Source organism: Homo sapiens, chromosome 22 (genome assembly GCF_000001405.40).
Source record: "Homo sapiens chromosome 22, GRCh38.p14 Primary Assembly".
Lineage (NCBI taxonomy): Eukaryota > Metazoa > Chordata > Mammalia > Primates > Hominidae > Homo > Homo sapiens.
The window spans coordinates 48,337,330-48,362,719 of record NC_000022.11 but is presented as its reverse complement, the minus strand read 5'-3'; the positions used below and the strand labels follow the sequence as shown (position 1 = coordinate 48,362,719).

At 52.0% G+C, this 25,390-nt stretch overlaps 2 long non-coding RNA genes across 3 annotated transcripts, besides 4 other annotated features; both read right to left on the bottom strand.

Annotated features, from left to right (window-relative positions):
- Positions 1 to 1,964: 1,964 nt before the first annotated feature.
- LOC105373081 (uncharacterized) lies at positions 1,965 to 11,432 on the bottom strand. The gene is made up of 4 exons (XR_938325.2): positions 11,234 to 11,432; positions 10,204 to 10,964; positions 7,000 to 7,188; positions 1,965 to 2,404 (listed from the first exon to the last, which is right to left on the bottom strand). It is a non-coding gene; the product is annotated as an uncharacterized LOC105373081 (long non-coding RNA).
- Positions 15,604 to 16,191: an enhancer, noted in NCBI's record as "H3K27ac-H3K4me1 hESC enhancer chr22:48742341-48742928 (GRCh37/hg19 assembly coordinates)". NCBI's record gives its function as "activates a minimal SCP1, AML or CMV promoter by ChIP-STARR-seq in naive H9 embryonic stem cells {active_cell/tissue: H9 hESC(naive)}" and the evidence as "EXISTENCE:reporter gene assay evidence [ECO:0000049][PMID:30033119]".
- Positions 16,192 to 16,779: an enhancer, noted in NCBI's record as "H3K27ac-H3K4me1 hESC enhancer chr22:48741753-48742340 (GRCh37/hg19 assembly coordinates)". NCBI's record gives its function as "activates a minimal SCP1, AML or CMV promoter by ChIP-STARR-seq in naive H9 embryonic stem cells {active_cell/tissue: H9 hESC(naive)}" and the evidence as "EXISTENCE:reporter gene assay evidence [ECO:0000049][PMID:30033119]".
- Positions 20,608 to 21,233: an enhancer, noted in NCBI's record as "H3K4me1 hESC enhancer chr22:48737299-48737924 (GRCh37/hg19 assembly coordinates)". NCBI's record gives its function as "activates a minimal SCP1, AML or CMV promoter by ChIP-STARR-seq in naive H9 embryonic stem cells {active_cell/tissue: H9 hESC(naive)}" and the evidence as "EXISTENCE:reporter gene assay evidence [ECO:0000049][PMID:30033119]".
- Positions 21,234 to 21,859: an enhancer, noted in NCBI's record as "H3K4me1 hESC enhancer chr22:48736673-48737298 (GRCh37/hg19 assembly coordinates)". NCBI's record gives its function as "activates a minimal SCP1, AML or CMV promoter by ChIP-STARR-seq in primed H9 embryonic stem cells {active_cell/tissue: H9 hESC(primed)}" and the evidence as "EXISTENCE:reporter gene assay evidence [ECO:0000049][PMID:30033119]".
- LOC105373080 (uncharacterized) lies at positions 22,021 to 22,690 on the bottom strand. Of its 2 annotated transcripts, none has more exons than XR_938324.3 (2): positions 22,435 to 22,690; positions 22,021 to 22,294 (listed from the first exon to the last, which is right to left on the bottom strand). It is a non-coding gene; the product is annotated as an uncharacterized LOC105373080 (long non-coding RNA). The 2 variants fall into 2 exon arrangements; XR_938323.3 differs by having other exon boundaries at positions 22,021 to 22,238.
- Positions 22,691 to 25,390: the final 2,700 nt, after the last annotated feature.

Sequence of the window (25,390 nt, the reverse complement as noted above, 5' to 3'; positions counted from 1 at the left end):
TAAATGGCAGAGTTCTGGGTTCTTGTTTCCCTGTGAGCACACAGAGGGCTAGGAGCCCCCTGTGCTGACCCCATTGGATCCCCCGACCTGGGGCAGGTGGGCCCAGTTCAGCCCAGCTGCCACCCTCCTCACACAGCTCCTGGCTTTGTGGGCCAATGGACACATTGGCCCTTTTTTAAGGAAAGGGGCCTGTTCCCTCTGCATGAGAGCTGCAAGAAACTTGGAACCTCTTTGTGCTGGCCTTGAAGCCCACCTGTGCTCACCGTTCCTCATCATTCTGTTCCTTGACTTTTCCAAATGCCTGCAGCTGTGGTGAGCAGAGATTCCCCCCCACATCCATGCCAGATTCTTTGATGCAAGCAAAGAATGCTAAGCCAGGGTGGAGACACCCCTGCCCTGGGGAGCACAGGGTGCCCAAGGAGGTTCTCTTCAGGCTGGGGACCCCCACCCCCAGGCAGGTGTGGCTTTTTCCTAGAACACACAGAGTACCATCCTTCAGACGTGACCTGCTTCTCCAGGGGTTCTCTCTGAGCCATGTTGTCAGGTGCTTGCCAAGGAGGATGGTATGAGAGGGTTGACTAAACTCTGTTATAAGTGAAAACACCTCATCCGTCCAGTCAAAGGCAAGTGCAGCGGGAAGAAAAGGCCACTCCAGAGAGTACTGCTGTCCACCCAACTGGTTCCGCATGACAATGGGGACCAGTGCTTGCCAGCTTTTGTTCTGCTCTTGGAGCTGTGCCTCGCTTACAGCTCAGATAAGCCGAGGAGAGTTTAAAAGACAGCAAGCACTCTGCTTGGGTGGTTATCAAAGCAAATTTTGTAGGAATTCAAAAACCAGAAAGCATCTTCCAAAGGTGTCCGCTGAAACAGTTTGCCTTCCTGCATGCATTCATCCATTCCTGTTCATACATACCTCCATCATCATACATCCGTCATTCCTCCATCCATTATCATTCATCCATCAATCATCCATTCACCCATTCATCCATCCATCATCCATCTATCCATTCGTTCATCATCCATCCATCCATCCATCCATCCATCATCTATCCATCCATCATTCATTATCCATCTATCCAGTTATTCATCATCCATCCATCCATCCATCATGATACATCTGTCACTCCTCCATCCATTATCATTTGTCCATCTATCATCCATTCACTCTTTCATCCATCTATCATCCATCTATCCATTCATTTGTCATCCATCCATTCATCCATCCATCTATCATCTATCCACCCGTCATTCATTATCCATCTATCCATTCATTCATCATCCATCCATCATCATACATCTGTCATTACTCCATCCATTATCATTCATCAATCTGTCATCCATTCAACCATTCATCCATCCATCATCTATCCATCATCTATCTATCCATTCATTCATCATCTATCCATCCATCCATCCATCCATCATCTACTCATCCATCATTCATTATGCATCTATCCATTCATTCATCATCCATCCATCCATCATCATATATCCATCATTCCTCCATCCATTATCATTCATCAATCTATCATCCATTCAACCATTCATCCATCCATCATCTATCTATCCATTCATTCATCATCCATCCATCCATCCAACCATCCATCATCTATCCATCCATCATTCATTATCCATCTATCCATTCATTCATCATCCATCCATCCTTCCATTCATCCATCCATTCCTCCATTCATCCATCCAGCTATCTATCCATCCAGCTTCCATCCATCCATGCATCCATCCACCATCCTCCCTTCTACACACTCACCCACCTATCACCATGCCTCCTCCCTTCCCTTCATTCATCCGTATTTGTTGGACTCCCTTTTGGTAACCTCTCACCACCTACCTTGTTATCTATCACTATGACCTACTGGCAGATAGTGCCTGGAATTCCAATATTATATCGTTACTCTTTCTTGCTAAAATTTCTGATCCCTCTTAGAATAAAATGCTTCCAAAAATATTTTCAGGTATTGGCACTTCAGGGTGATTAAACTTTGGAGGGTGAAGCTGCCGCCCTCCATGGCCTCCTTAGTAGTCAGCCCATTGCACACAGCACCCTACCCTCGCCCCCAGCTGATGGAGTTCTTGTCTTTAGGTTGCAGTTAGGGATGTGAGATCCAGGTGGGACATGGCCCACCCCCACCAGGGGAGGAGGCGTGCGGATCAAAGACAGCTACATGCGTTTCATTGCTCCTGGAGAGAGATTGGTCTTTGGAGGGCGCATGGCCTAGTTTTGGCTGAGATGCAGGAGGAGATGTGCTGGGCAGTGCTTCCTTTGTGGAGTCAGAAGACAGAGCAGCCTTCAGAGGAAGCCTGTGTCATTCCCCTTCTTCCTGAAGGATGTCATGACTGGAAGAGGATCAGCTATCTTGCAAACTCAAGGCAACAGGCACACTTGCTGTAGACGGTAGGACAGAGACAAAAAGAGCTTGGTTTCTTAATGGCCGTCGTGAGTCACTGCCCAGCCCCGACCACCTACCCTGAGGTCCCAGATAGCTTTGTCTCTTCAGGACACTGCTGGCCAGGCATTCTGCTACCTGACCTGAATACATACCAATCGATACAGAAAAGGAAGGTGAGAGGAGCCCACCTGCCAGAGGGTGGGAGGGGCGCCTCTGTGGCTGGCGTGGGCATTCAGGATGCTCTTTTGCAGAGAAGCGCTGATGGCAGGGGAGGCATTGGAGGCCTTTTCTCTGTGGGGTGTTGGGCCGGGGGCATCCAGCTTATAGAAGAGAGGCTGGCGCTCTGCAGGGCCGGGGAGAAGGCAGCCTTCAGAACCAGACGGGGCTGAGTTTACATCCAGCGTCTCCTGTTCCCTGTGTGACCCTGGGCAAGCAGTTAACCTCGCCGAACCCCAGTTTCTTCATCTCTAAATGGGAATAACCGCGTCCTGACCTAAATAAAACCCTCGACAAACAGTAGGTGCCTTGTAAGTGGCAGCTCCTCGCCTTAGGTTGCGGCGGTGGCGGGGGAGGGGTCAGAGAGGACAGGGCAGCTATTTTCAAACATCCAAGGACCTGACCCCTTTTCCGAGGACAAGGGAATAGATTTGTTCTGTGTGACTGACTGAAGGGAATAGACACAGTGGTGACAGACGGAGCTTCAGGACAACAGGTTCTGAGGAATACAGGAAGGAACACTGCAGCTGCTGGAGCTGTTCAATAGGAACGGCTGCTTCATGAGGCCCCGGAGCCTTGGAGCAGAGGGTGCCATCCACTTGTCTGCCCTCATCTCCAAGGGAGTCCTGGACCAGGCGAGAGGTGGGCCTTGGTGATGACTCGGCCGGTACAGCCCTGGGGTGCCAGGTTGAGTGGGCGACGGGTGGAGGGTCAGGGACAGCACCTTGCCACTGTCCACATTGAAGTCCTTGGTGTGTGTCTGGAAGCCAAGTCCCCTTTCCCCTTCTCATGGTGACTCATGCTGTCTGTTGAGAGCACGAAGTTGCCGCCTCTGGATTTTCCCCGTAACCAGCCTTCCCTCTGTGTTCCAGACAAGGTGGGCCAGGTTCCTCTAATGGCCCCCAGATCAAGAACTTCTCAGTAGTTTCATGTAACTCAAGGGAGCGCAGGAGGCATTTCCAGTCCCACGTAGCATCTCATATGCGCTAAGTGCAGCCCTGGCCTCCGCCCGGGGCTTGTGTGCGCACGCCCAGCACAGCTGTCAGGAACAGGGTCTGGCACCTGGCAAGGACTCAGGTGCTGGGCAAATGTGCTCCCTACTAGCCCTGGAGGTGTGCTACTGACTTCTGTTTTCATTCCCCAAGGTTTTATTTTAAGTAAATCCTCAAATTGGATTAAACCCACAGCAAATGATCATCACCACGTTTTTATTTTTAACTAGTTCGCTTGGGTTTCGTGGATGCTGGATATTCAGGACGTTAGCAATGTTCAGGAAGCTTCTATTTCTTACTGGCTTTGGGGGTTCCATGCAGGGAAGACCCTTGACTAGGAGCCCCCTGGGGGGATTGGGGTCAGAACACCATCCAGGCTGCCCCGAGGCTTTGTCCTGGGACCCAGTGACAAAGGCCGCCTCGTGGTGGAAGGAAAAGGGGATCAAAGGACTGTCCAGAAATGCGGGACCTCATCTGGCTGGCATCTGGCCACACACTCCAGAGTTGGGGAGGAGGCAGGGCCCAAGGGAGAGGTGGGAGAGGCATCCTTTTGGCTTTGGGTCTGGGCCACTCTGGACAGCTGGGTCCTCAGAAACCAAGTCCTCCTGCCCAACATGGTCTGACCCACATGAACAGGGCCAGGGTTTTCAAGTAGGAGTTTGGGGCCACAGCTTGGGCTGGATAGATAGTGTTGCGCCTTAGGGTTCTAGGGCCTCAGCCATCCTGTCTCGACAGTTTTGAGATACACCTGAGCTTGGAGGTCCAGAGATGTCAGTTCCACCCCCGGTTCAGATCCTTAGGGCATCGTTTATAGCATGATGAACATGAGGATGCCCTGTGAGGCCATCATGTGCAGGGAGCAGGTGGCCATTGCCAGGCCCGGGGTGGCCAACCCATGCCCTCTGTGCACCTCCTGCCCGAGGGCCCCCTGCCCACTCCGGAGCCCCTGCTGTTCCCATTCCTGGCCCGGCAGTGGGGAGCCTGTGCCTCTGGAGCTGAGAGTGGGACTATGGGCTGCCAGCTGAGGAGAAGAGCCCTGGGGGCTCTGCCCTCTGGTCCACTTCCCATGTTAAGAATAAAATTCTTCTGAGGCTTATTCCAGACGGTAAAGCAGTCTCTACTCACAGGGGCCCCTGCAATGAGGTTTTGCAACAGGGGAGAAAGATTGTGCTCCATTTCAAACACAAGGAAATGTGGGGATTCAGAAGCAAGGCTCCAGGTGGAATTGGTGGATGGAAGATGGCTAAGAGGGTGGGTCACTCTGTCTAAGCTGACCAGGCTGGATTCTGGCTAGAGGCAGGCCAGGGTGACCGACATCACCCAGAGGAAGGTAGGGGATGAGGAATCCGGTCAGGCATTGAGGGTGCTCAGACATCGAAACTGGGGCTTCTGGCTAAACTAACTTAGGGTTCTTGCTAACTTTGAACTCTGCCAGCATAAAGGCAGGAGCCCAGGGTGAGCCTAGGTAAATAGCAGGCTCAGTGCAGCCTGGCTAGAGCTGTTAGGGAGAGAGTCTGTGTTCCCTGGCCCGGCCTCCTGCAAGCACCTCCGTTTTTAGCTGTTTCTTTGGTTCTGCTGGCTCTGCCCACATGAGGAGTGCTTACCCTGACGTGGGTCGGATGTTCGTCCCCTCTAAGTCTCAGGTTGAAATGTGACTCCTGTGTTGGAGGCGGGGCCTGGTGGGAGGTGACTGGATCACGGGGCTGGAACCCTGCTGCATGGCTTGGCCATCCCCTTGGTGATGATTGAGCCGTCACTCTGAGTTCACAAGAGATCTGGTGGTTGAAGAGCATGGCGCCTCCTCCCGCTCTCTCTTGCTTCCACTCTGGCGGCAGAAGATGCCTGCTCCCTCGTCACCTTCTGTCATGACTGGAGGCTCCCGGAGGCCTCACCAGGAACTGAGCAGACGTCGGTGCCATGCCACAGCTTGCGGAACTGTGAGCCAAATCAAAGCTCTTTTCTACATAAATGACCCAGCCTCAGGTATTTCTTTATACCAACATAAGAATGGCCTAATACCCTCCCCTGAGCAGGGGCATCTGTGGGCTTCCCAGGCCTTCCTCACCCATCTCTTTGTTTGGGCCTCTCCATGCATCAGTGACTTAGCCGGCATCTCCTCAGTCCACCTCCTGCCTGGGTGTGGCTCCCTCAGCCCCTCCCATGATGCAAGTGTGGGTCCCGGGCTCTGCAGGCAACTGCCCCCCCATGGAGCTGCCTCCCTTCTCTCCTTCCACTCCATTGCTCCTTTTACCGACCGAGATGAAACCCCTTCACCTGAAACTGTGGCAGAGATGGTGCTCTGCCTACTGCCTTCCACTTAACATTACATCCTGATATTTTCCAGCCTCTGTCGTCCTTGTAATTAACATTTAATGATTGCAAAGATATTCACAAGGGCATCCACATGCAAAAAAATATATAAATGTAGACACTGACCTTACACCTTTCACAAAAATTAACACCAAATGGATCATAGACCTAAATGTAACATGCAAAATGGTAAAACTTTTAGAAGATAACATGGGAGAAAACGTAGGTGACCTTGGATTCAGCAAGGAGGTTTTAGACACAATGCTGAAAGCACAGTTCATGAAAGAAAAAAAAAAAAGGTAAGTTGGGCTTCATTAAAATTAAAAACTGCTGCTCTGTGGAAGACACTGTTAAGAGAACAAAAAGACAGGCCACTGACTGGGAGAAAGGTTTGCAAAACACATGTCTGATAAAGGACTTGTATCCCAAATATACAAAGAACCCTTACAACTCAACTACAGGAAAGCAACCCAGTTAAAAAGTGGATGAAGCTGGAAGCTATCATTCTCAGCAAATCACCACAGGGACAGAAAACCAAACACCGCATGTTCTCATTCATAAGTGGGAGTTGAACAATGAGAACACATGGACACAAGGAGGGGAATACCGGGGCCTGTCGGGGGGTGGGGAGAAAGGGGAGGGAGAGCATTAGGACAAACTCCTAATGCGTGCGGGGCTTAAAACCTAGGTGACAGGTTGATAGATGCAGCAAACCACCATGGCACGTGTGTACCCATGTAACAAACCTGCACGTTCTGAGCATGTATGCCTGAACTTAATGTAAAATAAAAAAAAAATGAAAAAAAGCAGGCAAAAGACTCGAATGTACACTTCACAAAAGAAGACAGATAGACACAGGTAAGCATATGGCTCCAGGGAGTTGTAAACTAAAACCATGAGACACCCCTGCACACCTATCAGAATGACCAAGACCCAGAACACTGACTCCACGAAATGCTGGCGAGGGTTCAGGACACCAGAAACTCCCATGCATTGCTGGAGGGAACCCAAAATGGTAGAGCTGCTTTGGAAGACAGTTTGGTGATTTCCTATAAAACTAAACATACACTTACCATATGGTTCAGCAATTATACTCCTTGGTGTTTACCCAAATGAGCTGAAAACTTCTGTCCACACAAAAACCTGCACGTGCATGTCGATCGCAGCTTTATCCACAACCGTGGAAGCAACCAGGATGCCCCTCAGCAGGTGAATGGATGAGTAAACTGCGACACCTCCAGACGATGGAATATTACCCAGCACTAAAAAGAAATGAGCTGTCAGGCCGTGAAAGGGCCAGGAGGAACCTTAAATGCATATCACTAAGTGAAAGAAGCCAGTCGGAAAAGGTTACAGACCGTATTATTCCATTCAAAGGACTTTCTGGAAAAGGCAAAATGATGGAGACGGTAAAGGACCAGTGGTTGCCAGGTGTTTGGCAGGAGGGAGGGAGGGATGAATATGGCTGCACAGGGGGTTTTAGGGCAGTGGAACTATTCTGTACAGTATTGTAATGGCAGATCCACATCATTATGCATTTGGCAAAACCCATAGAACACATAGCAGAAAGAATGAACCCTAAGGTGAACTATGGACTTTGGTTAATAATAATGGATCAATCGTGGTTCATCAATAATAACAAATGCACCATACAATGTAAGGTGGCAATAATAGGGAAGGTGGGTTTGTGAGGGAGAGGGCTAGAGGAGGGTAAGGGAACTGTTTAACCTTCTGCTCAATTTTTCTGTAAACCTACAACTGCTCTAAGAAATAAAATCTATCTCAAACAATATATTCACAAAAGAACCATATACTTAGAGCCTTCAAAGTTGACGGATTTATGGCCTTGTTACACATTATAGTTGTGAAAGAGATGGCTGATTGCTCCCAACACCTGTATCCCCAAGTTTTAGCTGGGCACAAAGCTGCCCAAATTAAATAAATATTTTCTCAACCAATTTTACAGCTAGATATGGTCTGCCTGGCAAAGTTTTGGCTAATAAAATGCATGAGGTTGTGCATGCAACTTCTCACAGGGAAGTGTACCTGATCTCCCCTTTGTCTCCTGGCCGGTGGGAGCACAGATGTGATGGCTGGAGCACCATGCAACCATTTGGGACCCTGACACACTCTCGGGAATGGAGGTCATTCATGGTGCAATGGTGAGATGTGAACCTAGGTCCCTCACTCTGTGGACCTTCCCTACACTCTTCCTCATATGCAAGAGTGACAAGCCCCTGTATGCACAGCACACTCCCCACCTGCTCTCCTGCCTCCCTCAGCCTAACCTAGTCCTGAGCAGCTCATTGATGAGCATCAAGCTCATGAGATAGTGAAGGAGTATTTTTCATTTAAACCTTCTTCCCATTGTCGATAGAGCCCTCGGGAATGAAAAATGTAGCATAAATTGAATAAACATTGACTAATATCCAAAAAATGCAGAAAGGAGAACAGCAATAAGTGTGGAAGAGCTGACACATATGATGGGACAGGGGCCAGAGCTCCGACGGGGGCTGCCCTGGGGGAAGTGAACCCTCAGGTCCTGTAGCCAGGCCCTGTGTGGACTTCACAGGCTCATTAGACCCACAGGTAGGTTGGTCTTCTCAAAGTAGCATTGACCCCAAAATAGCTGTACGTATAAAGCTACATACACAGACTTGTATATGTACTGCTGTGTATTGCTTTGCAAAATATTCCAATGTAAGCCCATACAAATTAAAAAAACAGAAATGCAGTCAGCCTGCATTATCTCACAGGATTTTCCACATGCCCTGAAACATCAGTGGTTCATGGCCCCAGGGTTTATGGAATATGGAATGTTGGCATAACCATCTCCTTCTTGCCAGGCAGTGAAGTGGATTCCTGAATTCTGTGACTGTGAATAATGAATAATGTGATTAACCCTGCAGGGCACAGAGTTCTGTTTGCCCACTTGTTGGAGTGACTTGAATTGAGATTCCAGGACAGGGATTGTTGAGTCACAGCACAGAAGCATCCCAGCGACACATTTCTGTCTGGAGGCCCCTGGTGTCTGGATACTGTGGCTCCAGGAGGCAGTGGGGATGGAGAAGCCCCAGCATGTGGCATGTGTCACTTAGAGAGTTGGCCCGGCTGGCCCCGAGCCCTTCCTGCACCCACGATTGGAAGAGGAGGGTGGTCTGGCCATCCTCGTGCTCTCTCGGGCTGGGCTTTCTCCCAGAGCCTCACCCACCAAACCCCGCACACTCAGGCTTCCTCCCCTCCCTCCCTTCCTTTCTTCCTCCATCTCCCAGTCTTTACTCCTCTTCTTCTTCCTGCTTCTTGTTCTTTTTATTTCTCTGTCTCTGTCCAGTGAGTCACCACCTGGGCTCGCCACCTTCTATCTTCCTCGGAGCCAAATCTGCCAGGGGACTGCGCTGACAGCTGCTCCCTGAGAAGGGGCTGGGGTGCCCCTTGGGAGCAAGTGCAATGCTGCAGGGTTTGTGGGCACAGGCATGCATCCAGGCAGGGCTCAGGTGGTGTGGTATGGAGCAGGAACCCTGCTGGGGAGGCAGCAGCTCCTCAAGGGCAGGGCTGGACCTTGTCTTCTAGCCATTCATTCATTCGACAAACACCCATCTAAAGCCCATTCTATGCCAGGCACTGCCCGGGGAGCAGAGTGAACAGGACCAGGGCCCTGCCTTTCTGGCGCTGGAACGTCAGTGTTGGACACCAACAACATGCAAAGAAGCTGCAAAATGGAATGCCTTACAGCCAGGATCAACGCTAGGAACAATGAACACGGCCACAGCTTCTTTGTCACTGTCCTCATCAAAAGGGGTCCACTTCTCACCCGACTGTGGGCTGCCTGTGACTTCCTCCGACCACAGAGTGTGGGAGAAGTGACGGTGTGAGTCCCGAGGCTGGGCCTGGAGACACCTCGCTGTGGCTCTCTGAGGCTTCTGCCCTCAGAACACCATGGCAGGAAATACCTCCAGCCTCTGGGGATGGGAGGCACATGGAGAACCGAGGTGCCCCAGCTGGCAGCCAGGGCTGCCCAGCCCCAAGAAACCACAAGCACCGAGCCTTGGGTTGGGTGCCCAAAGCTGGAGATGGGTGGCGCCATGCAAGGAAGCATGGCACAGGGTGAGAACCTCGAGCCAGCTGGGAGTCACAGTGACTGGGGAGGAGGAGGCGACATTTAGGCTGAGACTAGAGGATAAACAGGAGTTATTCAGACAGAGGATGCAGGTCCGGGCATCCCAGGGAGCGGGCACAGCCACTACCAAGGTCCCGAGGAAGGAAGTGGAGTGGATTACCTGGTGACAGGGAGATGCCGGTGGCCATGCATGGTAGGTGGGCTGGGGTTTCTGTTCCGTGTCCTGGCATTCTCTGCAGTCCCATGTCTGGCCTCACGCTCAGGGCATCACTGGTCAAATGAATGCCTGTTGATTGATTGACTGCACCTGCTATTGGTGTCAGCGCCTTAAACCCACAGGTGTTTCCTGCTGTTTCGAGACCATGGGTCGGCTGGCTGTTGGGCTGCTCTGGTCCCTGCTTGGCTGGAGTTGGCTGGAACTGCTTCTTTGTCTGAGGTCAGCAGGTGGGCTGGTGGGGCTGGGTGGCCTCGCCCCTGCATTTGGTGGCCCATTGGCCATCAGCCAGGGAAGGGGTGACCCTGCACCTCTGTGCAGTCCTGTACTGGTGCTTGTGGAGGAGTTGGGCTTCGAGGAGAACCAAGAGCTGCGTTTGATGCCTTGGTTCCTTTTGTGTGTCAAACAAAGAGTACATGGGTGACCTCAGAGTTCCCGAAGGTCCAGACACCATCTCTGCCTCCCTCTCATGGCGAGGGCTCCCTGGCCTAGCAGGTTGTCATCTGAGCTTGACAGGTAGGCACGCACATTTACAACCATGTTCCTTGGCCAGCCTGCTCCCCAGAGCCCCTGGCAGACATAGCCAGTTACAGAGATGTTCCCTGGCTGGCCTGCTCCCAGAGCCCCGTCTCCATGATGAAGGAGGAGCCTTTCGTCCCTGTTGGCAGCAGATCAGGAAAAGCTCTTCAATCGTGACCGTGCTGTGCCTGAAAAGAGAGGAAGTCAAAGGGTCCAGAGACCCCTCACCCTGGGGAAGAGCCTTGCCTCCCTCAGGGCAGACACGGGGGCTTTCCCGGGTGGAGCCCAGAGGTGGCATGGCCTTTGTGACCCCACCTCTAGGAGAGGCCTGCCCCAGCTTCTCTCCAGCACACGGTACTCCCGTGTTCTAACTTGGTCTGTAGCCTGGAGTTCCTCCCTGTTACTTGCTGATCCCCCCACACCCCCACTGTGGACAGAGTCACCATCATGCACAAACCTGATCAGCCTCTCCTCTGCCCACTCCTCTCACAGTTCCATGTTCCCTGGAGATGCTTCGAAGCTACCTAGGACCCGGACCTGTGCTGACAGAGTGCTAGCCTCACAGTGTCCTCTGCCTGGCTGAGTCTGACTCCCTCAGAAGCCTGGGTATTGACTCCCTTGTCCTCAGTCCTGCTGAACGTATCCTGGAAGGCGGCCTAGAGTAGGAGAGACCCCGACTTAGAGTTGCGTGTGGCTGGATTCCAGCATGGCGTGGACCAGGAGGTGTGACCTCGGGGAGTTATTCTGTCTCCCTGACTTGCATGTTCCTTCCCTGTAAAGTGCAATACCAGCTCTCTCTCACCTCCTAGAGACACCATGAAGGGGAAGGTCAGGGTGACAGCAGACACAGTCGGGCACAAAGCAGGTGCTTAGCAAGGGCAGATGTGGGTGTTGGACAGGTGTTCAGCCCCTTCCTTCCTTGAACTCTTCTCTCTTCCTGGACCTTGAACTCTAAGTTTGTTATTTATTATTATTATTACTGATATTTGGTTTTTTTTTTTTTGGTACAGAAAGAAATGGAATAGACCAAGCAAAGTTGGTTTTGATTCATTTGCAAGTTTTCCCATGTGCCACTTTCTCATTTTGTTCAAAAAAACTAGGGAATCTGTTATTTTCTTTCATCCTTTCTTCTCTGTCTCTGTTGATCCTATTTTGTTTTTTGTTAACCAGAGTGCCCTCCTAGGTACCTAAAGGATTAGGATTACGTCTCAAAGCCAGAGCTCAGAAAATTGCATCAACCTATGACAGGCACAAGCTGGCCAAGATGACCCCTGACCCCTTACACGGAGACCCAACCAAGGAGTGTCTCCCTGCTCAGCTCCCGCTGCTAACAAGAACCGGAGTCCTGTTGTTCCTGACAGCTCCCTCCCGTAAGTGAAAGAGGCAATATGGACGCAGGGGATATTTTCGGTAAGTAGGGCTGAGTTTAATACATTCTCAGTGTTAGCACATTGTAATGCCAGACTGCCTAAAAATATTCTGCTTGAGACGCGTTCTTAACAAATAGAGGAATTAACTCAGGCTGCGATTAAGTTATTCCTCCCGGTTACTAGTTTCTCTTGTCTTTATTAAACATGTTGGTCAGGTCTCTGGGGCTCTGAGAGGGTGTAGGAGGGGGACTGAAAGCTGGTCCCCTAGAGGCAAAATGTCTGGGCACGAGTCCTGGGCTTGCCATGTAGCTGTAGGACCTTGTGCACGTTATCCAGCCTCTCTGTGCCTCAGTCTCCTCATGCGCTTGTTACATAGATTTCAGGTATACAGTATACTGGTATGATATGCAGAGAGTGGAGTATTATAGGTAACAGCTTCGTATATCTGTCATTGTACACTGCTCCTGCTGTTTGTAGTAAAAGCACCTAATGTCTTCTCTCTCAGAAAATGTCCAGTATGCAATGCAAGATTATTAGCCACAGTCTTCATGCTGTACATGAGGGCTCCAGATCTCCTTGTCCCATATCAGTGCAACCTTGCCATCTTTGACCCGTGCTTCCCAATACCCCCATCCTGCCTGCAGGTGAATTCTGTTCTTTCCCTGATTCTAGGGATTCAACTTTTAAAAAAGATTCTTCCTGTAAGAGACGGCATGCAGTGTTTGAGTGTGCACGCATGTGTGTGTGTCTGTATTAGTTTGTTCTCACTACACTGTATATACTATACTGCTGTAAACATACTACCTGAGACTGGGTAACTTATAAAGAAAGGAGATTTAATTGGCTCACAGTTCTGCATGGCCTGGGAGGTCTCAGGAAACTTACAATCATGGCAGAAGGCAAAGGGGAAGCAAGGACCATCTTCACAAGGTAGCAGGAGAGAGAGAGAGAGAGCACAGGGGAAATGCCACACTTCCAAACCATCAGATCTTGCGAGAACTCACTCGCTATCATGACACGGTGCCAAGGGGGACGTCTGCCTCCATGATCCAATCACCTCCCACCAGGACCCCCTTTTGGCATGTAGGGATTGCAATTCAAGATGAGATTTGGGTGCGGACACAGAGCCAAACCATATTAGTGTGTGAGTGTGAATGTGTGTGTATGAGTGTGTGTGTGAGTGTGACTATGTGTGTGTGTGAGGGTATGTGTGGGAGTGTGTATGTTTTTGTGAGCATGTATGTGTGTTTGTGTATGTGACTATGTGTATGTGTATGAGTGTGTGAATATGAGTGTATGTGAAAGCCTATGTGTGAGTGTATGTGAAAGCCTATGTGTGAGTGTATGTGAAAGTGTGTGAGAGTGTGTGTATAGGAATGTGAGTGTGTGACTGTGTGTGTGTGAGTCTGTGTGTGAAAGTCTCTGTGGGTGTGTGTGTGACTGGCTGAGTGTGTGTGAGAGAGTGTGTGTAAGTATGTATATGAGTGCATGTGACTGTGTGACAGTGTATGTGTGAGTGTGAGTCTGTGTGAGAGTGTAAGTATGTGAATGTGTGTGAGCGTGTCTGTGTGAGAGTGTGTGTGAGTGTGAGTCTGTGTGAGAGTGTGTGTGAGTGTGAGAGTGTATGGGAGTGTGAGTGTGTGAGTGTGAGTCTGTGAGAGTGTAAGTGTGTGAGTATGAGTGTGTGTGAGAGAGTGTGTGTGAGGGTGAGTGTGTGAGAGTGTGTGAGTGTATGTGAGTGTGAGAGTGTGTGTGTGGCTTCATTTAATACATTCTGCTCCAGGTTCACCCATGTTATTGCAAATGTCGGTGTCTCCTTTTTAAAGGCCCAGAACCTTTCCCTCCGTGTCTATCGCACATTTTCTTTAGGCACATTTCCATCCACAGAGGATGTTTTTCTATTGTTTCCATCTCTTGGTGCTGCAATGAACCTGGGAGCTCAGGTGTTTCTGTAAGGTGCTGGTTTCTTTTCCTTTGAATATATACTCAGAAAAGGGATTCCTGGGTCTTGGGTACTTCTACGTTTAATTTTCTGAGAAAGCGTCATAGTGCTCCCCATAATGGCTGCACCAGCCTCGGTCTATTCATTTATAATATGAGGATAACTGAGTGACTGCTCCAAAGCCTTGGATTTGTGCCGTGTCTAAAACGGTCTGTGCGCGATGGTGCTTCAGCAGTGTTCACATAAACAGCTGAGCCAAGAACGACACAGGGTTACGGGTGCCAACCCCCGTGCAAGCAAAAGTCCGTGTATAACTTTTGACTCCTCAAAAACCTAACTACTAATAACCCACTGCTGACTGGAAGTCTTACTGATAACATAGCTGATGAAACATATTTAGTATGTGGTGTGTGTTATATGCTGTAATCTTACAACACAAGCTAGAGGACAGAAAATGCTATTAAGAAAATCCTAAGAAAGAGAAAATGTATTTACTCTTCATTAAGTGGAAGTGGATCATCATAAAGGTCTCCATCTTCATTGTCTTCGTGTTGAGTGGGCTGAAGAGGAGGAGGAGGAGGAGGAGGGTGTGGTCTTGCTGACTCAGGGGTGGCAGAGATGGAAGAAAAGTCCGCGTATATGTGGACCCACACCGTTCAAATCCGTGTTGTTCAAGGGTCAGCTGAAATTATTAACAGTAAATAACGTAGGAGCTTTGCAACGGAGAATGTTGCATTCATGCAGGGCTATATTAATTGCTTTGAGGAAACTTCATTCCCTGTAGACCAGGACCAGAAGGAATTGAGGAAGGTAATAAGTGTTATTCATGGTGACTATTTCATGGCCGGCAAGCTTCACACATATCATGTCACTCAGTCCTGACAACCCCCATGAAGGCTGGTGGGGCTCTTCCCATCTGAAAGACGAAGGGTTTGGCCTTCAGGAGTTAAGCATCTTGCCCAAGGTCCCATAATTAATACATGAAACAGCCTGAGTGCATGTTCTTTCTGGAGTGCCAAGCTCTAGCTGGGGGTGCAGAAAACCTGCTGTGGGCAGGGAGGCGTGGTCCTGAGCATCTCGCCGAGATGGATCTGAAGGAGCCTGTGTTTGCACACCACATGCCTGCAGGGAAACAGGAAAACACAGCCATGCCCTGACAAGAACTTTGGGTCTCGAGTCTCATGTGGGCAATTTTCCAGGAGCAAGCCCTGAGGGCTAGGGCTAAGGTCCAGGAGTTCCGAGTGGCATACGGCAGAGAGGGCGTGGGGGAGTTTGGCAGGGAAGGGGCAGCCGGTGAGGAGGAGGGGGATGTCAGTTCAGCCTCCACAGAAAACTGCTAGACTCAGGGAACTCTGAAAAATGGAGTAAGACGCATGCCTGAAATCATCTCTACCAAGGACAGGAGCCAGAGTCTTCACGCCTCCTTTCCCCGTCAGCCCCCAGCGCTGGGGGACAGGGCGTTCTTGTCTGGCCTGCAAGATGTGAGAAGTGGACTCTGCAGTCTGAAGCACCCTCCCCACAGCAAGACACAGGTGCTGGTTGCAGGGACTCAGCCCGGCAGGCCCAGGGGCGTGAAGGAGCCACAAGCGGGGACGCTGGGGTCCCACAGGACCTACTGAGCAGAAGCCCAGACCGTGGTTCTGAGCAGAGAACGCTCAGGTCTGTCCTGTAGAAAAGCTTACGGAGGAGACGTTGACAGGAGAGATAGCTGGGGCCCAGCCTTGGAAGGACAGAGAGCGAGAAGTGTGAAGATGCTTGTTGCTTCCTGGAATTTGGTTTAATTAACGTCTTGGTTTTTATTCTTCTTAATCAGAAGCATGATCTCAAAGACCCGCATCTGACTAATTACTTCTGCCATTGCAGAGAAACGTCTCAGAGCTGGGCTGGTTCCAGAGTCTGTGCTCCGCTTCTAATTCATCGTCTGCCATAAAGGATCCATCAGGGCCGGATGCTGGGGATGCCGGCAGGACCTGGAGCAAAGTCGTCTCCTGCCTCTGGGACTTGCTGCACTGATTCGTAATGTGGGGCTTCAAGTTCTGCTCAGATGTGAGTCCTGTGGTCACAGGACTGTCTGCTCCACTGTGCAGCCCCCCAGCCAGCGTCTCCCCATGGCTTCACAGAACACGGGCCTGCTGGGGTGTAGCCCTGCGTGCACCACGTTGCCATTGGCTGACCCATCACCCCTTCTCTTCCTCATCCCTGCAGGTTTCTCTCTGGACCTCAGAACCCAGCACAGACCCTGGTATACAGTAGGGGCTCATTCGACGCTTAGGGAAAGAATGCTACAGGGGCGCTCACCCACGGCACCTGGAGTGTGTGCACTTTTCTGTAGTTGCTTTGCACTCGGTATCCCTCCTGGAGACTGTGTTTCCTTAAGACATAGAGGGCGCAGCCTGCCTTGGGGGCCTGGGGGGCTCACGCGGCCAGCAGAGCTGAGCAGATCCTTTATAAATGCCACCCCCCTCCCCATTCTGGGCAGCGTTTGTGGCCAGCACCATGGGAACCTCCCTTTGGCGGATCTTTGAGAACAATTTATCTAAGATTTCAGGATGTGAGCACACGGCTGAGACACCCTTCGACCTCACCTTCTGCAACTGTGGCACAACCTTGTCCAGGCCTTCCTGATTCTCCAAGAAACACACAGCTCGTTCATAACTTTCTACTGTGTTTTGGGGCTGCTGGTTGCTTCGCAGGGCCGTGGGGCGATTTGACTGACAGACTCGGTCTTCAGTTCCTTAGTCGTGGAGCCCCCGGCCATGTGAAACTCCTGAATTGCAGGATGCCCAGGACACAAGGAGACACAGGGGCTCCCAACAAGAGTGGCCCTCGGATCCCTGGGGTCAGTGTGAGCTCTTCCCTCGGCAGGTTTTCTACAGACCCCTCCAGCTGGCCCTGGAGACTTCCGGTGTCGGGCCTCTGCTCTCTGTCTGTCGGTCTCTCTTGTCTCAGGGAACCTTGGGCTAAGATCTTCGGCCCTTGGCTGGGCGAGGTGGCTCATGCCTGTAATCCCAGCACTCTGGGAGGCCAAGGCAGGCGGATCATGAGGTCAGGAAATTGAAACCATTCTGGCTAACATGGTGAAACCCCATCTCTACTAAAAATATAAAAATTAGCCAGGTGTGGTGGCGCATGCCTATAGTCCCAGCTATTCTGGAGGCTGAGGCAGGAGAATGGCGTGAACCCAGGAGGCTGAGGTTGCAGTGAGCCGAGATCACACCACTGCATTCCAGCCTGGCGACAGAGTGAGACTTTGTCTCAAAAAAAAAAAAAAAAGAAAAGAAAAGAAAAGAAAAAAGATCTTTGGCCCTCAAATTTCCATTCCTTCTGGCCAGGGCTCAGAGGGTGAACAGAAAGACAACACTCTTCCCAAATGCTTCTTTTTCACTGAAATACCCAACTTCCTTCAAACTACACAAGGGCAGTTTGGGAGGACGAGGCAGGAAGATCACTTGAGGCCAGGAGTTTGAGACCAGCCTGGGTAACATAGTGAGATCAAATCTCTATATCAAAAGAAGAATTTTTTTTTTTTTGAGACAGAGTTTCACTCTTGTTGCCCAGGCTGGAGTGCAATGGCACGATCTCAGCTCACTGCAACCTCTGCCTCCTGGGTTCAAGTGATTCTCCTGTCTCAGCCTCCCCAGTAGCTGGGATTACAGGCAAATGCCACCACACCCGGCTAATTTTTGTATTTTTAGTAGAGACGGAGTTTCGTCGTATTAGTCAGGCTGGTCTCGAACTCCTGACCTCAGGTGATCTGCCATCCTTGGCCTCCCAAAGTGCTGGGATTACAGGCGTGAGCCACCATGCCTGGCCAAAAAAAATTTTTAATGGAACAGTTTCAAAGTCATAGACACTTTTGCATACTACCTTTGTTCTTCTAAGTTCTGGGACTACACGAAACATGACCAAAGAGATTTCCTGTATTTCATGAGGTGACGTGTGGATCTAATCCAAATACATCTGGTAAGTCTATCTGTGTTCTTTGGTGAGAGGGGAAGGGCACACTGGACATTGCACAAACATTCACAGCCAGTGGCTGTGGGTTCCACATGGTTTTTTTTTTTTATTTAGATGGAGTCTTGCTCTGTTGCCCAGGATGGAGTGCAGTGGCGTGATCTCGGCTCACTGCAACCTCTGCCTCCCAGGTTCAAGCAATTCTCCTGCCTCAGCCTCCCAAGTAGCTGGGATTATAGGTGTGCACCACCACACCCGGCTAATTTTTGCATTTTTAGTAGAGACGGGGTTTCACCACGTTGACCAGGGTGGTCTCGACCTCCCCACCTCAGGTGATCCACTGGTCTCAGCCTCCCAAAGTGCTGGGATTATAGGTGTGAGCCACCACACCCGGCCTCATGTGCTGTTGTTTTTGATCTTGTTCCTGAGACCTCCACGCCAGTGCATGGGAAGTTGAGCCTGAGCCTTGCGCCCTGTTCTTATTAAATGCCATGCTCCGATTTTGGGGAGGAGAACTTGGCCTTGAGCACAATTCTGCTTGCAGGCTTGCTATTTTTGCAAGGTTTACCCTATTCTTAGTTACTTTTAAAAATAAAATTGTCAACAGCTTTTTCTTCCCCTGTAACATTTCCGCCACCACCAAAGATCTTAATGAACTGCGCATTCAATTACATGAAGAAGGAAGCCAGGCAGTGGGGGTGAGGTCTGGCCACAAACACCGAGGCGAAAAAACTCCCAAGGCAAGATTTAGGCACTTGCAGGAGGGACTGTCACTGGGGGGAAGAAGCCTGTGACTCGGGAATGCTCATGAACACATCCAGCTTGTTGTCAACCCTGATGATTTTGGTAAAATGGCTCCAAGAAAGAAGACTTCTTTCTGGAGAGAAAACATCGATTCTTACTCGGGCTTTATAGAGGCAGCTCTCAGGCTGTGCGCGAAGGAATAAAAAACACAATCGACCCCAGCTCCTCGGTGGTTCTGGCCAAATCCATGAAAAACCAGCAGGGAAGACCTGGCTTTCTGTGGCACTGCGGCTGCCGGCGGGCAGCCCACAGCGGCTTCTCCAGCACCGTCCTCCAGCCATTCCCATCTTAGCCAATTTTTCACTGTGTCCTTCGGTATCAGCCTGCAATTAGGAGGACAGCTTCTCGTTGCTTCCTGTAATCATTAAGGTGATGCCTTGACCGAAATAGTTATCCTTTCTGAGCCTCATTTTCCTCACTAAAAAAAGTAATAATCGGCAGGGCGCAGTGGCTCACATCTGTAATCCCAGAACTTTGGGAGGCCGAGGTGGGCAGATCACCTGAGGTCGGGAGTTCAAGACCAGCGTGACCAACATGGAGAAACCCCATCTCTACTAAAAAGACAAAATTAGCCGGGCGTGGTGGCATATGCCTGTAATCCCAGCTACTTGTGGGGCTGAGGCAGAAGAATCGCTTGAACCCAGGAGGCGGAGTTGCAGTGAGCCGAGATCACACTACCGCACTCCAGCCTGGGTGACAAGAGCAAAACTCCATCTCAAAAAACAACAACGACAACAACAAAACTGATAATCCCTACTCTGCCAACATCATTCATTCATTCACTCATTCACTCATTCACTGTTGCAGATCAAGTTCTCCAAAAAGCCGGCTGTGAGGTGGAGGTTAGCAGGTAGGATGCCTGTGCAGGGCCCATGGGACCCAATGGGTAGAAGGGAGAGAAGGGGGAGTGAGCTGGGTGAAGGCCCAGTGACTACCTCAGTTGGACCCAAACGGTGGCTGATGAAGGCCGTGTGTAGGCAGCACACAGAGAAGCTGGCAACACATCCTTCCTTGAAGGGGGTCATGGTGCACACCAGAGGGTCTGTCCCACTGTTCGTGGATGTGGCCATGACCCAGATTTGGCCCCAGCCCCTTTGGGGCTCTCTGTCTTGGGTGGACAGGAGAAAACAGCCCACATGGGTATGCCATGAAGAGGACACTTCCCCTTCCACATCAGGGTGGGTGGCATATTTTACATTCCATCAGGGCACTCAGTGAGGGGATGACATTGTTACGCTGGAGGACAATGCTGTATCTTGGGTGGCAGGATGGAGGTGTTGCTTAGGGACAGGACAGCAGGTGGGTTAGGCAGGCCAGGGCTGGTTCTGAGAGAGATTCCTGGGATCTAAAGTTAAGCCCCAAGAAGGCAGCTGCAGGGAAGCTGGACAAGTTATATTGTCTGTGATCTCAACTCCTCCAGCGGACCATGAGCTTCAGAGGGTGGAAACCAACCCAGATCTTCACGTGGCACGGCTGCCGCAGGTGAACCATCAGGCAGAACTGCTGTGGAAGGGATGAGCAGCGATGACAGATGAAGTCGACACCAGCAAGAAGAGGGATGGCTGGCATCTCAGACGGCTCCGCCCTGTGCCAGATGCATGCCCAGAGTCCCACGGCCGCCTCCTTCCCTCCTCATCCTCACTGAACCCCCCGGGGGTGCCTCAGCTGCCTGCACATTTCAGACAAAGAGACTGGATGAGAGGGGGCCGAGACCTCATGGCTGCAAAGCAAGGGAACCTCGGCTTCGCTTTCCTGCCGGACTCACTTCAGTCCATTCCGTGAGGGCTTCCGCCAGGGAAGAGAGGGTCACAGCATGTTTCAAGATTGTCTCCTGGCCTGGGATTGCAGGGTTCATGGACATGGGTCTGCTTGGAGAGGAAGCTGGCCTGTGCCTTCCGCTGTCCCTTTCAAGAGCCCTGGGGGTATTTGGGGCATGACTGTTTGTTTGGGTCCCAGAAGGCTGCTCCTCCTGTCTGGCTGTCCTGCTCCTTCTCTCTGTCCTGCTCCTCCTGTTGGTCCTGCTCCTTCTGTCTGTCCTGCTCCTCCCGTCCGTCCTGCTCCTTCTGTCCATCCTGCTCCTTCTGTCCATCCTGCTCCTTCTGTCCATCCTGCTCCTTCTGTCTGTCCTGCTCCTCCTGTCCGTCCTGCTCCTCCTGTCTGTCCTACTCCTCCTGTCTGTCCTGCTCCTTCTGTCTGTCCTGCTTTATCCCCAAGCAGGGTCCACGTGTTGCCCCCAAGGCTGCGGTTTCCACCGGCTCTGCTGACACTCTGCCTGCTGCCTCAAAGCGTTTTAACTTCTCATTTGAACTTCTGTCTGCCAGAATGTGTTCTCCTGGGGGAAGGGGAGAGTGAGCGGGTGCGCAGTGCAGGGGAGGCTGCAGACGGGGGAGGCAGGAAGGCGAGATTCGAAGAGAGAGTGTTAAATAGCACTGCCCTGAGGGGAGGAAGCCGAGCAGCTGACGGCAGCCGGTGAAACAAAATGTACAATTCGGTATCTGGAAAAGAGAAAGTCATGGGCGGTTTCTGAAGGCGTTAGGGAGGGAAGGGGCAAAGGCCTGGTGAGAGCGGCTGAGTCTGCCTATCCCAGGCTTCCCAGCCATCCGCTCCACCTGCCTCTGCTGCCCCGTCCAGCCGGCCGGGACCCAGGCCCAGTTTCCTGCCCTGCAGAAGGGCTCTTCAATCAGCTCCTGCCTCACCTGCATTCCTTCTGCTTCTCCCCAGGCTCCTGTCCGTTCTCAAAGCAGCAGCCACAGTGGCTGGGGCGTCATTTGGGAAGGTTAGGGGAGCGATTTGGGGCAGCGTCATCCATGTGCCCACCGCTCTCCCTTCATCAGGGAGGGAACTGCCACTCCCCCTTCATCAGGGAGGGAAGGGGCTCCCACTGCTCCTGGAAACAAGTCACATTTCTCAGACAGGCTCTCGTCACCAGGCTCCCCAAGTCTGATGCTGTGATGCCCAAGGCCACAACCCCCCAGGCCCTTGCAGCTTCCCCAGACTGGGCTGGCCATGCCAATGTTTGTGATCCCGCTGAGCCCACCACGAGCCCTGAACCCTTGAAGGATAGGAGCCTCTGACCTTGGAAGGAAGGACTCACATGTGACAGTTTAAGAACTGGGTAGTTCAGCCAGTTTACATATAACCAGCACGACAGGGTCCAGCCAACAGGACATCCCCTTCAGCAACTCCTTCAGATGCTTTTATAATGAAGACCTGTGGTCAGCCAATGGGTCGTGTTTGGAACATTTTTCTTAGCAATAGCATTTTGGAGCAGAAACCTCATGGACGTGAGGGTGAGCTGGAGCAGTCAGCAACTGAGCCGCAGCCCTCCATGGCTGTGTGGCCCTGGGGAAGTCGCCTCCGCTTGCTGAACTCAATGCAGATCCTACGGCTGGCTGTGAGGACACCACATGTCATGAGAAGAAGGCAGCTGGCGTGAGGCTGGCCAGCCCTGGGGGGGAGCATTTGTATTAACACAACAATCAGGATGCCCCATGGGGCTCATCTCCAAGCCCTCCAGGTGAAGCCCAGCTTCCAGGAGCACCAGGGGTCCCTGACTCTTCCCACGGTGCTCCCTGGGGGCAACCTCACCCTTAGGGGGACTCGCTCCGAAGGTGAACCTCTTCCGAGTCCTGAGGTTTCCATCTAGTAGGACCTAGGACCACTCCACCTATCCAAGACAGGCCCTCCTCGTGCTTTCACGGGGCAAAAATGTATTTCACCAAGTGGAAAAATGATTCCCTCATTGGCGTCTCTCCTTGGCTACTGCGAGGCTCCAGTGTGATAGCTCCTGCCACGCAGATGGTTGCTGAGATCCGACTTAATGGTGGGTGCCATTAGAGGCAGGTGCTCCTTTCACCGCCTCAGTGACATCACAAAGAACCCGTGGAGGGGTGTAACTGCTGATCTGTCTTTACAGGAAACTGAGACTGGAGTAATTTTCCACCTCGTCCAAGGACTCAGGGCAGCTCATTGCAGAGCGTGGGTTCCCAGCTGGGCCTTCCGGATCCCACGTCTGCCCTCAGCACTCACAACACATCCTGGTGCCCCAGAAAACAGAGAAACATCCGCTGTTTTGAATAGAATTAGGAATCCTACAGTTTAGAGGTAGAGAAGTGAGAGAGCAACGCCATGGGAACAACCGTGGCGTTTAGAATTTACTGGGGACCGGCTTGTAGGTGTCTTAAGAGGAAGTGGCTCTGGCAGGGGCCTGAAGACCCCCAGCTCAGGGGCAGGGCCCAGCTTCCTGGAGGCTTGGGCCTGTCTGACAGAGCCTCCCTTGCTGTTGAGGGGTCCTGGTGGTGTTTTCCCTGGGTCTGGGTTGCTGGAGTGCAGGCGGAGGCCTCATTTTGGGGCACCGGGAGACGCATCACCCTCACTCCCTCCAGCAGCTCGCAGCAACCCCCTCTGCAGAGGCGGCCCCAGGGATGTCTCTGAGAGACAGTGGGAGAAAGCTGTAGGGAGGTTCCCCCTTCTTGGAATCCCTCTCTCTCCCGCGCCCTCCCTCTCTCTCCTGCTGTTTCTCACACCTCCTCTCTCCCTCTCTTCTCCCTCCCTCTCCCTGTTTCCCTAATGGTCCTGTCCCTCCGCACTCTCCCTGTCCCTCTCTGCTTTCCTGCCTCTCTCCTCCTCCTTCCCCTTCCAATCTCTCTCTCCCATCCCCTCTCCAGGTCTCTGTCTCACTCCCCTCTGTCTCTCTCCCTCTTCACACACACACAGGTGCACAAATGCACACACCCACAAACACAGCCCACAGCCATCATCTCCTGAGATAACTGTGGCAGAAACACGGAGCTGCCCCAAGGCTCCGCTCGTGAAGGGAACAGAGAGGTTCCTCGGAGGCTTCTCTCTGAGCCTGCGTCCCACGAGCTCCCTTCTCACCTCCACTTGCAGCTCGCCCTCTCTGCACCCCCAGCAGCCTGGACCTGGGCTGGGAGGGAGGTGGGGCTGCACTGGTGCAGAGGCCGGGCCCTGCTCAGGGGGCCAGCCTCCCCCACCCCCGTGCTTGGGGGAGCAGTCTACGTGAGCTTCGAGTGGTTCTGGGGGCTGCACCCCCAGTACAGCCATCACCAGGGTCTGCGGAGACATTTGTGGGTGGACGGGATGCCGTGGCCTGCTCTGCCCTGGCATTTGAACCCTCACCATCCCTGCCCTGACGGCCCAGCTCAGCCACTGGAGTCTGGGAGGAGGGAGGTTCTGCTTTGCTCTGACAGATGCCAACACCATTGCAGGCCTGAGGTTGTTCTGCAGAAGACAGAGCCCACATGCAGGGAGACGGGGCAGGACCCTTCTTCCCACCCCCCGGTATGAGCCAGGCCCCACACCAGTGCCCAGCCAGGCCTGCCTAGGGGTTGCCTGGGTGCCAGGGGGGCCAAGGCAGTGCCCGGTGGGACAGAGCCTGCCCAGACCCGAGGGGATGGAGGGGCTGGAGCCGCCCACCTGGGAACGAAGGACCAGAGCCCGGTGAGCTCTGGCCCGCCTGGGTCAGGCCGGCTGTGCTTCTGTCCCCACGGCCTCCCCCATCCTCATGGCCACCCCCATGTGTCAGAAGCCATGGTGGAAGCAAGTCTGTGAGCTAACCCAGCACCCGGCTCAGCCTCCCTGAGACTGTGTGTCAGTGTGTGTGTCTGCGTGTCAGTGTGTGCATGGGTCTGTCTGTGTCTGTGTGTGTTTGTGCGTTTTTGCATGTCTGTGTCTGTGTGCATCTGTATGTGTCTGTGTCTGTGTGAGCCTGTGTGTCTTTGTGTTTTTACATGTCTGTGTGTATCTGTGTGTGTCTTTGCATGTCTGTGTGTGTGTCTGTATGTGTCTGTGCGTGTCTGTCTATATTGCATCTGTGTGTCTGTGTGTGTGCATGTGTGCATGTCTGTGTGCATCTTGTGTGTCTCTGTGTGTGTCTGTGGTCTGTGTGTGTGTGTGCATGTCTGTGTGTGTGTCTGTGGTCTGTGTGTGTGTGTGTGCATGTCTATGTGTGTGTCTGTGGTCTGTGTGTGTGTGTGTGTGCATGTCTGTGTGTGTGTCTGTGTTCTCATTTCAGACGGGTTTGGGAGCTTAGAAACTCAGACTTCACATTCCTCAGTTGTAGGATGATGATGTTCGATTGGACCATGTTCCAAGCCACTTTCCACGAGAAAATTCTACGCTTTCACAATTGCAGTCAATACTGCACCCTCCTACCCTCAGCCAATCTGGCCACATGTCCTAAAACCACAGCCTGCCACCCAGTTCCGTCCACAAGCTCAACATGCACAGAAGGAATGTCTACTGGAAATTTCTTATCACTTGACAAAATGGCAGGCTCATTCAGAGACTTCCAACGTGAATCTCAGACCCTTCCTCAGAAACCCATGCCAGGGATCAAAATCTTCCAAACAGATCAACTGCTTTGTCCTCAATGGAAACACGATTGTACAGACGCTTGGGTTTGGGGGTCGGACTGGTGAGGGCTCCTGTCGTGGCGAGGTTATTGACAGGTGGGTGGTCTTGGGCTGGAGTTTGGGGGTCGGACTGGTGAGGGCTCCTGTCGTGGCGAGGTTATTGACAGGTG